A 15847-nucleotide genomic window follows, 5' to 3' on the forward strand; every position below is an offset into this window, starting at 1 on the left:
TCAGAAATTATTCTGAGCTCTTCAGACTAGAGGAACTGGTGATAACTCTGCAGGCTGAGCTCAAAGGGCCTCCCTCCTGGCACTGCCTGCCTCACCCACAATAACCCTGGAGTTGAACTCTGAGGAGAAAGAGCTTGGTGCCAGATGCAATCCCAGGAACTCAGGGTTTCAAGCCTGCAATGAAAGGAACTCCAAGGCCAAGCAAACCGTGTCGATGTAAAACAGCAAATCTAGCAGCGTAGTCCTAAGACTCCTCAGAGGGGAGGCCTACCAAAGCCACAGAGACTTATGACATAAAAGAGAACTAGAAACCTTTGGGCTACATCAGGATAAGCCATCCTGAAGCGCAGTGTGGCTGCGTGCGGGCCAGCCCAAGATGACAGAAACCGGTGAGCATGCACACAGTGGGCTTCCCCTGGGCTCTGCTATCAAGGACTACAGGCCAAGGGGATGGATTTGGGCCAGATGAAGGTTCCCCACTGTCCCCTAACCCTCTCCCCAATCCCATTTCACCTCTCATCTCCCAAGGACAGAGGATTTATTGGAACAGTGCCTCCACCGCAGACAGATGTCTGAAACTCCAGGACAGAAGGGAATGTTATGGTGCTTGAACAGTGTGAAGAACCCATTAGAAAATATTTCCTTGGCTGTCTTTGCTTTCAATCGAGATTGCTAGAAATGTCATAGATTTAAATGAGTGGATATGTCTGGAACCCAAACATGGCCACCCTTGGGCGCCATTTTCCTTCCCTGACCCAAGCATGCTACCCCTTGGAGAGCAACAGGGTTGTAACCCAAACACAGATCTCCGCAGATCCTTGAGGAAATAAGATTAAAGCACTGTTCCTGGGTTCCACTGGACATAAGGGCCTGGTCATCACAGTTTACTCAGATTCCCAAGACTTAGGATTAAATAAAGACCTCTAGGAACAGAGAGGCAAAACCATACATATTGGTTCCTGCCATATTGTTGAATATTAAGCTTATTTGATGAAAGACAGGATTCCTGTCTGGGACCAAAACCAGATTCATTTCTCTAGGAAGATATCTCATATGAAATACCTTATGGACTTCCTTGGCAAAGGTCAGACCCCAAATCCCATGCTGTGGTGACCTCCACTTCAGAGAAGGCCCAGTGCATATACACACTGATAAACACTGATGTTCGAGTAAGTATATCCACATTAGATTTTTACAGCATTTTCTTTTTAAGATTCCCTGTGTATGGCTTAATGTGGTAATCAGGATTATTTCATTTATCTAGCATGTCACAGTGCCTTCCTATACCCATGGTAAAAATAAGAGCATTCTATTTAAAATAAAGGAAAAGTATATGTCAAAGTTAGAGATGAAACAGTTGCCGGAGTCCACACTGGAGAAAATCAATTCACAAATCTTGCAGCGAGGTTCTGTGCCTCTCCTGCCTTGCAAAGGCGCCCGGCTGTTTTCTGCTGTTTATTGGGTTTTGTTTTTAAGATGCCCTGCATTTATAACAGGAGCTAGAGAACCGAGAGCTGAAAGCCAATACTAATGTTTTAATTCCATCAAGTATGTTTCAATTCCTATTTTGCATTTTGCATTAGGCACCCGGACTCAGTCAATACTTCACAGCACCGTGGCTTGCAGCCGGGCACAGGGGCTTCACCTAAGCTGACAAATGATTATGCTTCACAACGTGAGGATAAACAGGGCTTAGAGTCAGAAGCCTGCTCATTGCTCTTTCCTGCTACAAAGAACAAATACATTGTCTAGTCACAATATGTTTATTTAAAGAGACCACCGTGTAAGTTGCTTCTTCATGTGACTTCCTTTTCAGGAAGCCACCTTTCTTCCTCCAAAATTATTAATCTCCAAAAATAACATAATCCTCCATGGGACAGTGAGATGTTCTACCTCAGTGTTACAACCCAGGAAATGGAGACATAGATGGTTAGTGTCCTACCACCTCTGTGAGTCCTCACTCCAGTCCGAGGAGTTAGTCAACTCTCTCTTTTCTCAGCTGAAGAATGACACTGTGGGCAGCTTTCTTGATTCTGAAAGATAAAGATGCTACAAACTTAAAAAAATAAAATAAAATAAGTATACGTCTGCTCCAAGCTCAAATTGCTATTTTTGGTCCCCTCCTTAAACCAGGAAATGTTCGGTATCTTAGCCTCTATTTTTTTCTGCATTTATAAATCCAAATATTTTAACTAGAAAAAAGGGGTTGGGTAGTAACAAACTCTGACACAAAGGGTCGTCATTAAAGGTCCTCTAAATTCAAACTAATATAACTTTTAAAAAATTACACAAATAAACTCAATAAAAACTATACACAATACACAAATAAAAAGTGTGGGGATGGGGGTGTGTGTGTGCACGGGGGCGTGCATGAAACAGATGGGCTTCTCGAATTCTCTTTATTCTAATAAGACTTATGAAATAAAATCAGAATAGATGCTTTATCTCTAAAAAGCAGTTTTTTGATAAACCTCAAAATCAGTCCTCATGTTCCTACTTGCGTCACACAGTATCAGACCAGACCTTGCTAATTTCTCTGGAGGAGTCAATGATTCAACTCCAGGACTGACAGTTGTATAAGTAGAATCTTTCTGAAAATCTGCCTCTCAATTGCAGTCACAGGAGTAAACTGGTTTACTTGTTCTAAGAACAGTGGAGCAACATCTGTAGCTCAGAGGTGAGAAGCGATGGAAAGAAAAATACCCTAAGATGGGCTAAATGTCCCCAGACCCGAACCTTAAGGCCTTTCTCTCCCGGCAGGTACATGGCCCCACTCTCGCCCCACTTAGCAAATTATGTATAAATGAATTACCTTCCTGGGCTGGTTCCCTCTGAATTACTCCTTGGCTTCTGAGTGGTTTTCCATCAGGACGAACCTTTTCCTCTCCCTTATGCACCAGCAAACATACTGATACAATTTAAAGGTCATGTTCTTTTCAAACTGACAGAGCCCTCCAAAGTTTTGACGAGAGGCCCTCCAAACCTCACACCCTACAGGCGGAAAGGAATTAAGTAAAGCATCACTTGCTGGAGGCTCAATCATGTGAAATGATTAGAAAACGCATCCATGGAGAAGGGGGCTTCTCGAGGTGACTGGCTGCTCATCCCGAAAGGAGATGTCACACCGCGAGGCAGAGTCCCTGCCACTGGGGGTACCCCAGGAGGGTCAATGAAGATATAATTACTTTCCCACAAGAAGTCTCTTCTTTTCCCAGTCCCCAGTGGATGTCACTTAATTAGCCTCGCCTTTTTTATTTGATGATAGTCCACCTTTCCCCCCACACCCCAAGACTGAATTAATACTATCATTTCTTAGGCTTAGAAGGACTTTTACTTGATAACTACGGAAGCACCGAGAGGATGGATTCTGCATAAATGTGCGTTGTGTGTAGACATTGACATGTTTATTTACAGGTGTATTTGTATTACCAGGAGGATAGACGGTTCGTGGTGTCTTTTTCTCTTTCTTTTTTCTATTTTTTTTCTGTCTTTGGGACAAAAAGAGGATGACTGAAATGGCACCATGTTGTTGATGGCATGAGCAGATGCTGCCTTCTGGGAATCCAACCATGGCACTGGACATTCTTCTGATATCATTATTATTATTATTATTTGACATTTTTGCTTTGATTACTTTGTTCATCTTAAAACTGCCAAGGTTCACCTGAGATGTGACACTTGCTTGAAGGTCCGAGAATCACCAGATGCTCTGTCTTAAACTGTGTACATGCAATGACATTACCTGTCACAGAAAAGGGAACCTTGATGAAAACCCCAGACAGAAATGCAATGGGTGGCTCACACGCCCCCTAACCCTGCTGCAGAGTTCCAGGCAAGGCCCTTTGTCTCGGGTTCTCCTTCCTGCCTGGCTTCTCCTGATTGATCTGAGCATCCCTCCTCAAGAGAAGCCCTCTGTAACTCTAGGATTTATCTTTGGGCTGAAAAAAATGATGCTACCTCAAAACACTTATACACCAAGAACTGAAATAATTTAGCCCATGGAAAACAAAATAAAATCCTTGTTTTGTCATGATTTCACATGCATCCTTAAAGTCAGCCCAGGGCTTGTTAAGTTTTTACTGGAATGACTTTGCTTTGAAACTTCCCTCCTGCTTTAATTGACGGATGCACACAAGACCACAGCCTTGGTTGGCCCTGTCATGGAAAGCTGGGGCTGTGATCCTGGAATTCAGTCATCAAGTAGTTTTTTGGCATTGTTCTTCTGTTGACTTCGCCTCTCCCTGTATCACACCAGTTGTCTTTCCAAAAGGAAGTGTCCCTTTCCTTCCCTCTGCAAAAGACACAAGCTGCTCTCACCCACTTCCTCCAGCCATCGGCACCTCTGTTTTCAGACCAGCCCTCATGACCCCAGTTAGAGGTGCACAGCTGTTCCTGCCAGCCCTTCCTCCCAGCCTCCTTCCTACAGATGCCACCATGACTGTCACACCTTTAAGGTCTGTGTGTCCTGTGAATACAGGTCTAACTTGCGGGACACAGAGAGGACTTTGTTGAGCAGGTGGTCCTTAAGTTCAAAATCTGAATTAAGGCATGTACAGCAGCACAGTCATGGGAACCTTGTTCAGAAACCATAAAAAATCCACGGATGTTCTCGTGGAGACCACACTTCATGCTGTTAAAACTTGACCATCCAAATATTTCCTATCACACCTTTGCGTGGTCTTATTGTGTGAGTGGAGGAGTGGGGGCAAGGCAGTCAATTAAATGTGGATCAAATAATCAATCACCATTGACTGGGCACCTTTTGTTGCCCAGCACTCTAGCTATTGGCTGGAAATGCTAAAATAAGATCCTGTCCCACTCTCAAGGAGTTCTCCATGTGACCAATAGAGAGCCACCTAAACAAACCATTAATTGAGTGCTCCTCCTGAACCTGCCACAGCTTAATAGAAATTGACAAGGACCCCATGAGAATCTCGAGGAAAAGCAGCAAAGATTTTGGCCCCTCTATTTTAACTGGGTCTCTTTTTTAAGTGACTGCTGCACTGAGTCACTAATTCAGTAGAACGCTGTGACAAATGCTAGGACCAACGCAATCCAGACCTAGACCTCTATCTGCTTTCCTCCTAGAAAGAGGAGTTTCACCTTAAAGCAGGAGGGAAGGTGTTTCACACAAGTGGGCTCTTTGCAAACTTGCTAAATCAGTCTTCCTCCATTTCTGGAGGAAAAAATCTGCACGGCTGCTCACAAATGCCAGAAAGGGAAAGAATCCAAGACCTTGAAATAGCTGAGGCTCTTTCCTTCATTTAAAACTTTTGTTCCTGGAAGAAGTTGAAGGATGTTTTATAAATGTTTTAAATGCATCGTTCAAAGGCAAAGCTCCTTCCTTCTCTGGGGAGGTGACCCTTCTGTTCTCTCTGCTGATGTCAGGCCTGAGCTGTGACCTAGAGGGACAGCAGGGCTGGTGACGTCTTTTTACCTCCACACCCACGAAATGGCGCTCTGTCAACTGGGGGAAGAGGAACAGGGCTGTGGTTGTTTAAGGGGTCTTAAGAAGACAAACCCAGGCCACAGAGTTTCTACGTTTTAAACCTTTCACTGCACTTTTCCTTATTGTCCACATCTGCCTTTTAAAATACTTTTCATGGAAATTTTATCTAGCTGTTTTCATGACAGGCAAACCCACCGTGCAACAGCCAAATCTGAACTAAGCATTTGAGGAAAAACGTTCTCAGTTGTGTCAACGGAGAAATGATGAAATGAACACCAGATCATGTTAGTACAGCCCGTCTGTCTGACCGACACTGACAGCCCCATCTCTTGAACACTTAATGTGTACAAGGCCTGTTTAAGCCAAGAGGAAAGAACTCACAGGGGTAGACCCGGCCTTGAAAGGGGTTTCATTGAGTGGGGCTACACTGGGGATGTGTCTGTACCTTGGACAACGCTTGGCTGTGGCTCTGACACCCAGCATGTTTCCTGTGACCAAGCAAAGTGCTAGGGGCTGTTTATTTCACCTGCATGCAGATAGCCCGCCCGGACACCACCCCAAAAGGATGAGCACACCCTGAGACCAGCCATGTCTAGAGGCCAACAGGAAAGGGTCATCAGAAACCCACTGTTCTGGTGCTTCAGGATAAATCTTGCCTATTTCTTCAAAGATAGAGCATCATCGAACTGGATGATATTTTCTTCTCCTTTGCAAAAGCAATAAAAGCTGCCGGTCTGGGCTGTGTATCCTGCCTGTGCTGCTAACAAGACACATTCCTTTTTGTTCATGGCGAGTCATGTAAGTTTCTGTCTTATGTCACAATTTCTGACAAGTGCTTGAGCACAAAAACAGTATCTTGGCACCAAGAAAATGACCATCACTTAAAAAGATGAAACTCCCAAGGACACCAAAAGGGTAAGATTTCATGGGAGATATGCAATAGGAAAGCCAGCCCCTCCCATGTCCAGAAGACCATCCCTACAAATCATGTCAGAATCATTCTGCTCTTATCAAACTTCAAGGCAGCCACTGCTGCAAAACTTCCCTGGTTCAAACCAACCACTTGGCCCAGAGTTGATGTTTAACACTTCTACACATCTCATGGTTAGCTTATTGGGAAAGCCTGACTTGGTACAGCCCTGTTCTTTTTTCCACTTTTTAATTATTCTAATTCCTTGTTTTTCTTCTAGGTCCCTTAGAAGACTGATTTCTCAGCCAAGCATGGTGGCTCATGCCTGTAATCCCAGCACTTTTGGGAGGCTGAGGTGGGTGGATCATCTGAGGTCAGGAGTTCGAGACCAGCCTGGCCAATATGGTGAAATCCTGTCTCTACTAAAAATACAAAAAATTAGCCAGGTGCGCTGGCACGCTCCTGTCATCCCAGCTACTGGGGAGGCTGAGGCAGGAGAATCGCTTGAGTCCGGGAGGTGGAGGTTACAGTGAGCCAAGATCACACCATTGTACTCCAGCCTGGCCAACAAGAGCAAAACTCCGTCTCAAAAAAAAAAGAAAAGAAAAGAAAACTGATTTCTCAGTTCAGGCTATCTCTTCTCTCTGTTTGTAACACAAAAGACTTATGCCTCTGAAGGACGTTGTAGAGAGAATATTGCGATGGGAAACATACAACTTTGAATTTCATTACATCACAAACTTCCTTCTCAAAAATATAACACCAGTTAGTTTAATAAAACATGGCATCTACGGACATACTTATCATGCAGAGGTGCAATAAGAAACAATCATATTAACTGAAAACCATGGCTTATTTATGTATTAAAGTATATTATGTACATCTGCACCCAAGGCCTCTCCGACTCATTGCCAGATGGAAATGGGGAACATGGTGCCAGCCTTCACCCTACACTGGGAAGTTCTTTTCCCTGGGCGAATGTATCCCTTCTGCCTACCTGCTCACATTCCAGGACTCCTGCCAGTTTACCTACACCCATCTGGACTTAGTGACAACATGAAATCCAGGCTGGGGTATAGCAGAGCCCTCCCTGCTCTGTTCCTGGCCTTTGCATTTTCGAGGGTGCTGGGAACTTATCAGTCTAAAATCTATGATGATTTTATCATAGTCACTAGAAGGATCCAAGAGGAAGTGAAAGCTGAAAGGAAAGCACAAGTAAAATTCTCACTCCAACACCTGACCCAGAAAGCCTTTGGGTTTTGAGGGGTGAGCATGAGGGGGTTGCTGGTTCACCTAAGACCCTCTCCATTCACCATCACGTCCCTCGGTCTCCCCCGATGGAGCTGTTTCTGAGTCTTACAAGGCAAATATTAATTTGGAAGTCAAGGTCCTATTTGCAAAAGAACAGACAGACATTCTGAGATCAAGTTCAGACTTAATATACTGAGTCTTGGTGGTGTTGTCTGCTGACAGGATACACTGTCTTTAATATCTCTGCTTAAAATATTACCAACAGGCTGGGCATGGAGACGTGGAGTTTGAGACCAGCCCTGAGCAACATGGGGAAACCCCACCTTTACCATAAATTCAAAAAAAAAAATTTGGACAGGCATGGTGGCATGCACCTGTAGTCCCAGCTACTCGGGAGGCTGAGATGGGAGGATCACTTGAGCCTGAGAGGTTGAGGCTACAATGAGCCAAGATTGTGCCAATGCAGTCCAGCCTGAGTGACAGAGTGAGACCCTATCTCGAATATATATATATATATATATATATATATATATTCCAACAACTTAAATAAATAAGACCTAGTATTTGCTAGCACAACAGGGTGACAATAGTAAAAAATAATTATTTGTTTAAAAATAACTAAGAGTATAATCTAACTGTCTGAAACACAAAGGATAAATACTTGAGGGGATAGATACCATGTTTACCCGGATGTATTACACATAGCATGCCTGTATCAAAATATTTCATGTACCCCATAAATACATACACATACTATGTATCCACAAAAATTAAAAACTGAAAAAAATTAAATTAAAAAAAATTACCAACAATCAGATTAGGTCATCTTCTGCTCTGGCTGAGCTATACCCAAGATAGATAAAACTTCAAGGCTTCAGAGATTCAGGAAGTGCAGGCAGCTTTGTGGAGAGGCAGGGCCGTGTCACCCAACCATGCCTACTAATCAAGAGCCCTGACTCCCACCAGCCCATCCTCCCTGTTCCACTGCAACACCTAACTCAGAAGACATGGCCCACTAAACTGGGCAAAACCTAGGTGCACATCTGCACCCAGGCCTCTCCCACCCGTCGCCAGATGAACACAGGGCACACGGAGCTGGTCTTCACCCTACACTGGGAAGTTCTGTATCCCTGGAGGAATACATCCCTCCTGCCTTCCTGCTCACGTTCCAGGACCCCTGCCAGTTTACACACACCCAGCTGGATGCAGTGATGACAGAAAATTCAGGCTGGGCTGTGGCAGAGCCCTCCTACTCTGTTCCTGCAGGGGAACATGGCATAGACCCCCACGACGAGCAGAGCCAGCTTCCAGCCTGCACAGACTCCAAGCCTTTTATAAAATCAAAATGAGCCTCCCTTAAATAAGGGAAGCAAGGGAGGGGATTTCAGCTCTTCCTTTCCCAGAGGGCTGGAGCCGATGGCCTCGATGACAGCCTAGGCATTCAGTTGGCTTCGCCTGGAGGAAGAGGGAGGCAAACGTGCCTGAATGATTCTCCCCAGGAAAGGGAGAGAGTAGGACAACTTGGGGAAAAAACGTTCCTGCAGGGCTGCAAAAATCAGGGAGAGGCGGCAGGGCAAGGAGACAGGCGTATGTATGTCTGTGTCTTTCAGCTAGGCAGCTCAATCTCAGGTTATTTTATTTGACAAATAAAACTAAACTGCATATTTATGGACTAATGATGTGAGATATTGCTCTTTTATTCGTATCCACTGCTGTTTAAAGACCAACTGTAAATATTCCTGGGACTTTTTGCAAGTTGGTGTGACTTAGGTAGGCAGCCCAGAGCACAACCTTGCAGCCCCATTGACAATAGCGGCACTGCCTCAAGGTCAAGGTCAAGATCAGGACGTCACCTCCTTTAGCAAAGTCAGCTACTCATTGGGAGCATTTCCTCTCAAAAGCCACAGATTCACGTATCCTTTCAGCAACACTCATGCCTGGCTCTGTGCTGGCCTGGGGCTTTCAGAGCCATCTGGAGGATGCTGGGCCCTAGTCCTGCTGGTCAAACACCATGAGGCGTCAGTGTTGGGGGCAGGAGATGATGGAGTGTGATGACCCTACCCCCAGAACGGGGATAACTCCCCACTCCTCTGTCCTTCGCCATGGGCCAGTGAGAAGCCATCATGCAGAAGGGCAGTTTGTTGGTTGAAGGCATACAGTGGCAAACATAATGTGTTCTCTGTCATTTGATTTAACCACTCCTGCCATCAAAAATAGGACAGGGAGAAGGAAGCCAGGTCACCTTGTCTTTGGAGGAAAGAAAGAGTTCTGGGAAATAGTAAGACAAGTTACAGGGAGGGTCTCCATGGGTCCATGCATCTTGCCCAGAGGACAGTGGGCTGGTGGGTGGGAGTGGGCAGAGGAGAAGGCCGACCCTCAAACCCAGCAGAGTCAAGGCAGCTACTAGGAGAGCACAGTGTTCTCAGACTTCAAGGGTTGCTAAAGGTGCTGCCTCCCAGCTCTCTGCAGGCCTGGGTGGTCAGAGCAGGCTGTGTGCTCAGAACAGGTAGGGCCAGCAAAATAAATGCTGCATGGTTGACCCCCGTGCCACCTTTATGGGCTGGGGCTGACACTGGGGGGTCCCTACTGAGGACAAGCTCAGTTTAGGGGAAATCCCAGCCAGACAACCACCTGGTAAATAGGAATAGCCCTTATGTGGGCTTAGAGAAGACACAGATGAGCATCATTCAAATGGAACCTCTCCCCTGCTGAAATCCCACCAAGGCTAAGGGCCTGCTCAGGGAGTCAGGCATATGTTGGTGGGGACAGAGGGCTTCATACAGCATTAATCTGTAAGAAGCTGCCTTCACAGCAGCTCCTGCTCAAGCATTAATTCATTTTTACTTCCCGTGGTGATAAAGACACACCTCACCATTGGCTTTTCTAATGACAGATGTCGTCCCACGGCCCTGCTGTGGTCCTCAAAGATTTGGTGCCCACAGCCAGGGATATTGCTCCCGCCTCTAGCCTTCTCCCTTTGCTCACCAGTCTGAGTCATCTCTTACCCAGCTGCTCACCCAAAACTAAAAATAACTGGGCAAATGCCTAAAACTGCTCCCACCCTAACCCAGGGCTCCTCCAAAGATCTAGAAGAAAGGTAGGAAGCCCAGCTTTGGCCTCCATCTCCAGCCTGCTGCTGGCTTAGAGGAAGATGCCTGAGTACATTCCATGCACCAAGTACTGAGGGGCTACAGAGATGGACATAGCATGGCCTCGGAACTCAGAAACACCACGCAAAGCCACAGAAGTGCTGCAAAGAGGGTGTTTTGTCCAACAGAGTCACGTGGGAGAGAAATGGATCCTGCCAGGGAAACTGAGAAGGCTTCATGCAAGAGGAGGTATTTCAGAGGAGCAAAACGTCAGTAGACAAAGAACAAGGAGGGTTTCTCAGGGAGGGGAGCTGTGCAAGCCAAGCTGCAGGCACAGAAGGAAGCTGCAGTCTGTGAACTCTCCATGAGAGACTGGGGTGAGAATAAAATCCAGTGCAGCTCCAGGTGGAAGACCCTGCCTGGCCCAGCTCTGCTGGCCTCCCAGACTCATTTTCAACCATGGGCCTCTGTGTCCTCTAAGCTTCTCTCAAGCTTCCTCCTCTCACCTTAGGGCCTTTGCAGATTCTCCCACTCTCAGCAGTCCTCCCACTCCGGGCCTTCCCTTGGTCGGCTCCCCCGGACTTTCAACATTCAACTCAAAGACCTCAGTAGAGCTGACCATCATGTTCATCTGAGGGATTTTCTTCATAGCACTTCCTGCTCTCTGAAATTATCTTGTGTTTGTTTGCATGGTCAGCATCTTCCCTAAAGTATATAACCTCCGTGAAAGATACCTTGCCTGTTTTGTTCAGAATCTTCAGAGGCTGGGACAATGTCCACTCACAGGAAACCCTCAGTGGCCATCTAAATACCTGATGAGTGCATGAGGGCAGGAGGGAGTGAAGGAGGGAAGGAAGGAATGGCTAACATAAGGTCCGTCAAGGGGCAGGGAGGGAAAACAGAAGGAAAGGCAAATGAGCCTCTTTGTGGACTTGGTGCTGGGCACTGGAATTTGTATCTGCATGGCCTCTCTGGGAGTTTGTAAAAGCAGTCTGAGAAACTCAGGGAGGTGGAAACTGGCCAGGGCAAAGCTGATGGGCTCTGTGCAGAAATCACTGATCAGCCAGGCATGGTGGTTCACGGCTGTAATCCCAGCACTTTGAGAGGCCAAGGGGGGAGGGTCACTTAAGGTCAGGCATTAAAGACCAGCATGGCCAACATGGCAAAACATCATCTCTACTAAAAATACAAAAATTAGCCAAGTGTAGTGGCATGTGCCTGTAATCCCAGCTACTCGAGAGGTTGAGGTAGGAGAATCACTTGAACCCGGGAGGTGGAGGTTGCAGTGAGTCAAGATCACGGCACTGCACTCCAGCCTGGGCAATGGAGTGACTCCATCTCAAAACAAAAAGAAGAAAGAAAAGAAACCACTGATAATTTTCCACTTTGGGATGGGGTAAGCCACAGTAGTTGAGACTTCCTGACCTACACAGAGAGGCCACTGAGATTCTGGAGCCGGGCAGTTGATGAAGTTGAAAAGAAATTTGCTCTCTGTGTCAGTCGATTTGCATTGTTATAAAGGAATACCTGAGGCTGGGTAATCTATAAAGAAAAGAGGTTTATTTGGCTTATGGTTCTGCAGGCTACTCAAGCACAGCACCAGCGTCTGCTCGGCTTCTTCTGGGGAGGCCTCAGGAAGTTTTCCTAGTGGCAGAAAGCAAGCGGGGAGCTGGCGTGTCACGTAGGGAGAGAGGGAGCAAGACAGCAAGGAGGAGATGTCAGTTTCTTTAACAACCAGATCTCCCATGAACTCATTACTGCAGGGTGGGCACCAAGCCATTCATGAGGAATCCACCCCCCATGACCCAAACACCCTCCACCAGGCCCCACCTCCAACATTGGAGATCACATTCTGACATGAGATTTGGAGGGGGGAAAAAACATCCAAGCCATATCAACCTCACTCCATCACAAGTGCTTGCAGGATGCTCTACCTAGCATTCCTATGGGAGTCTTCTCCAGGCCTCCAGGTGCCAGATCCTTCTGGAAAACAGGCTCTGGAAAGAGGCTGTGTTGGCTTCCCAGAGCAGGCTGCAGCACAGCCCAGCCACGGCACCAACCCCACTGCACGTGGGAAGTGCTAGTTCCCAGCGTGACCCAGCTCAGACTCACAGCCCCATCAGAACTGGCACATACCCCAAATCCATGTGAGAACCCAGTGATAGATTCCCCAGTTCATATGAGAGCTTCCAGTAGACTCTGGAAAGTCCGGGCCCTCCAGAGAAGGGTGATGTCAAGGATGCAGAGGAGGACACAGGGAGAGAAGCCACAGGTCTGTGTTCAAGCTACTGAGGACCCAGTGGGCAAGAGAGAGGTTCCCTTGTGCCTTAGGAGTGAGAATTTCCAGGCCACCTGTGGATGAGTTCACAGCTTACAGGAATACCTGTTGGGTAAAGAGTCTGCAATTACTCACACTTCTCAGCCACTCTGAGAAACTTTTAACCACAAGACCTTTGAGTTTGAGTTTAAACACTTTCAAGCTTTTTTGCAATGTTGGGCAAGACAGAACCTTCCAGTGACCTACTGTCTTAATCTGAAAATACTGAGGCTGTCACCCTTTTATGTCTTTGGACTGTTGAGAGAATGAATGAGGTCAGTGTGCACCTATACCAGGGGCTCAGAAATTCTTGACCCCCAGTTTGTGGTCATTGAGTACTCATATCCCTTCTCCCGAATATCTTTTGTGCCTCTCTTGCAATGTCCTGTCCGAGAAAAACCCAGCGAGCCCTTGTGTCCAATGGCTGAGTCCAGTTGAACATCCTCAAGCACCCTCATGACCCACGCTAGCTGAAAGTCGAAGCCACTCCCTGTGACCACCACTCACCCTCTGCCCTCTGGCCCTGGTCCCCTCTGACCACCACTGCCCCATGACTTTTTTCCTTCTCTCTCTGCATTTTTACCCTGATGAAATTATTTGCCTATTTCTTCTTCATCCCAGAAGAGTGGGTGTTGGAGCTTTGCAAAGTTTGCATTATAAGAAACCAATATTCGGGGCCACAGAACATCAGAGGTTTGGCCCACATGACAACATAGAAAATTCCCACCCACCAGGTTTCCTGCAGCTGCTCCCCTCCTGCAAGGAATTTGCCAAGGGATGTCGGCTATAGAAAGAGCATTCCAGAACCACGATGATCAAAGTTTCATTGGACCCAAGGGCACAAGGTGGAGTGGGAAGGGAAGGTCCTCTGCAGAACTCTTTGTATTTGGAAAGAAGAAACCACCAGGCAAGACTCCCGGCATCCTCCCAGCCAGGGAGAGGCTGAGGCTTGGGGAAGTTGGGTGTTTCCCTGAGGAAGTAAAAGATGAAGCGTTTGTGTTTTGTTTGAATTGATAATGATGTCAGTTTCAGTTATGGGCTCATTACAACAGACTTGGGACGTATTAACAGCTCTTTAATTGAATTTGGAAATAAGAAGGAGGGTTTTGAATGGTCTTATAAATAGTGGATGTGCCGGCCTCTGCAGCAACCGTCTTCAACATTAAACAGGGAGAGAGGAGACAGGGGATCCCCCAACGTCAGCCATTTCTTATCCTCCACAGGGTCCCCACATGCCCACTGTGAGACAATTGTTATCATTCCTGAGCTGAGCTTGTGGGTGCTAAGGAAGGCATTCGGACCAGGAAGCCCAAATTTGGACCCAGAGAGTAAAAACAGGGCTGGTGAGATGTGGAGATGCAACCTTTTATCTTCTCTTTTTTTATTTATTTTTATTTTATTTTATTTTATTTTAGAGATGGAGTTTCACTCTTGTTGCCCAGGCTGGAGTGCAATGGCACGATCTCGGATCACCGCAACCTCCGCCTCCCAGGTTCAAGCAATTCTCCTGCTTCAGCCTCCCAAGTAGCTGGGATTACAGGCACGTGCCACCACACCCGGCTAATTTTGTATTTTTAGTACAGATGGGGTTTCTCCATGTTGCTCAGGCTGGTCTCGAACTCCCGACCTCAGGTGATCCACCTGCCTTGGCCTCCCAAAGTGCTGGGATTACAGGCGTGAGCCACTGCACCTAGCCTATCTTCTCTTCTAAATCAGCAATGCAAGATAAACTGCTGACTGTCCAGCCCCCAGCCCCCTCCTATAATCTCCACAGGGCCCAAGGCACACGGTGATGGGATGGCCTGCTTTCCTATCAGCCAGGGGCCCTGGCCACCTCCTCTAGGAATCCTGGGTGCCTGCCCCAGGCCCTGAGAAAGGAAATCTAGACAATCCTTTGTAGAGTGAACAAGAGGATGACCTACCACCTTTGGGCTTTCCCTTTTGCCTTTTCTGTTTCCCTCACCCTTTCCTCCCTTCCACCTGCTTTCTCCACCACACGCTCTCATATCAACCCCTATGCAGCCTCTTCCAGAAAAATCCATGTTAATTATCCAGGATACATCCTTCTTTATTTACTCCATGACTATATAACCACATACAAATATGCATATTTACTCATACTTGCATGCATACATATAGACACACATATACATCACGTCCATATGCATTACCTGTCTGAGGGGAGGGGAGAGAGTTGACAGATTTTGCAAATAAAAACACAGGACATCCAGTTACGTTTGAATTTCAGATAAACAACACACAGCTTTTAAGTCATTTCTAGATTATTTCTTGTTTATCTGAAATTCAAATGTATTGAGTGTCTTCTATTTTATCTGGCAACCCCGGGAAGAAGGTGGCTTTATTTTTTTGTAAAATCTGATCACAGTATTCACACATGCACTCTTGAGATCCCATAGCTATCTTTCCAGGTCAACAGGCAGTGCCCTAGTGCATTCTTTTTAATGGATGCATAATATTCCATGTTGTGGTTATTCCTCAATTTCTGGATAATGCCCACTACGTTTGGTTAACTGTACTGCAGTGTTGCTCACCGTCAACAAAAGGAACGGAAGACAATATGGCTGGCTCTGTCATGCCTCCTTAAATTAGCTGTCATGGCAAAGTCAGACCAGAAGTCACAGCAAGAGAACACATCACTCAGAACAGCCAGCCCCAGGAGAGCCTGTGGCTGCATCAAGCACCCTGAGCGGGGAGGAGGGATGACAAAAAGAACTGTGAAATGCCCCTTTCCAACAAGGAACATAACAATGGAAACAGAGAGATGCCTCTGACTCCAGGCTGGAAATATGCTCAAATGTAGAAATTCAGAC

At 46.5% G+C, this 15847-nt stretch overlaps 1 long non-coding RNA gene across 20 annotated transcripts in view; it reads right to left on the reverse strand.

Annotated features, from left to right (window-relative positions):
* LINC01837 (long intergenic non-protein coding RNA 1837) overlaps positions 1-15847 on the reverse strand; it is a 234720-nt gene that overhangs the window by 126512 nt on the left and 92361 nt on the right. For 15 of the 20 annotated variants that reach the window (XR_007067217.1, XR_007067220.1, XR_001753921.2 and 12 more), the window contains 2 exons: positions 2813-3742; positions 1943-2033 (listed from right to left, as the gene is read on the reverse strand). The exons of 1 other annotated variant lie outside the window; for it this stretch is intronic. This is a non-coding gene — a long non-coding RNA (long intergenic non-protein coding RNA 1837). Of the gene's footprint in view, positions 1-1942; positions 2034-2812; positions 3743-12835; positions 13083-15847 lie in introns of all 20 variants that reach the window. 4 more of the 20 variants (XR_007067222.1, XR_007067223.1, XR_007067219.1 and 1 more) reach the window with 2 other exon arrangements.

This window comes from Homo sapiens, chromosome 19 (assembly GCF_000001405.40).
Source record: "Homo sapiens chromosome 19, GRCh38.p14 Primary Assembly".
Taxonomy (NCBI): Eukaryota; Metazoa; Chordata; class Mammalia; order Primates; family Hominidae; genus Homo; species Homo sapiens.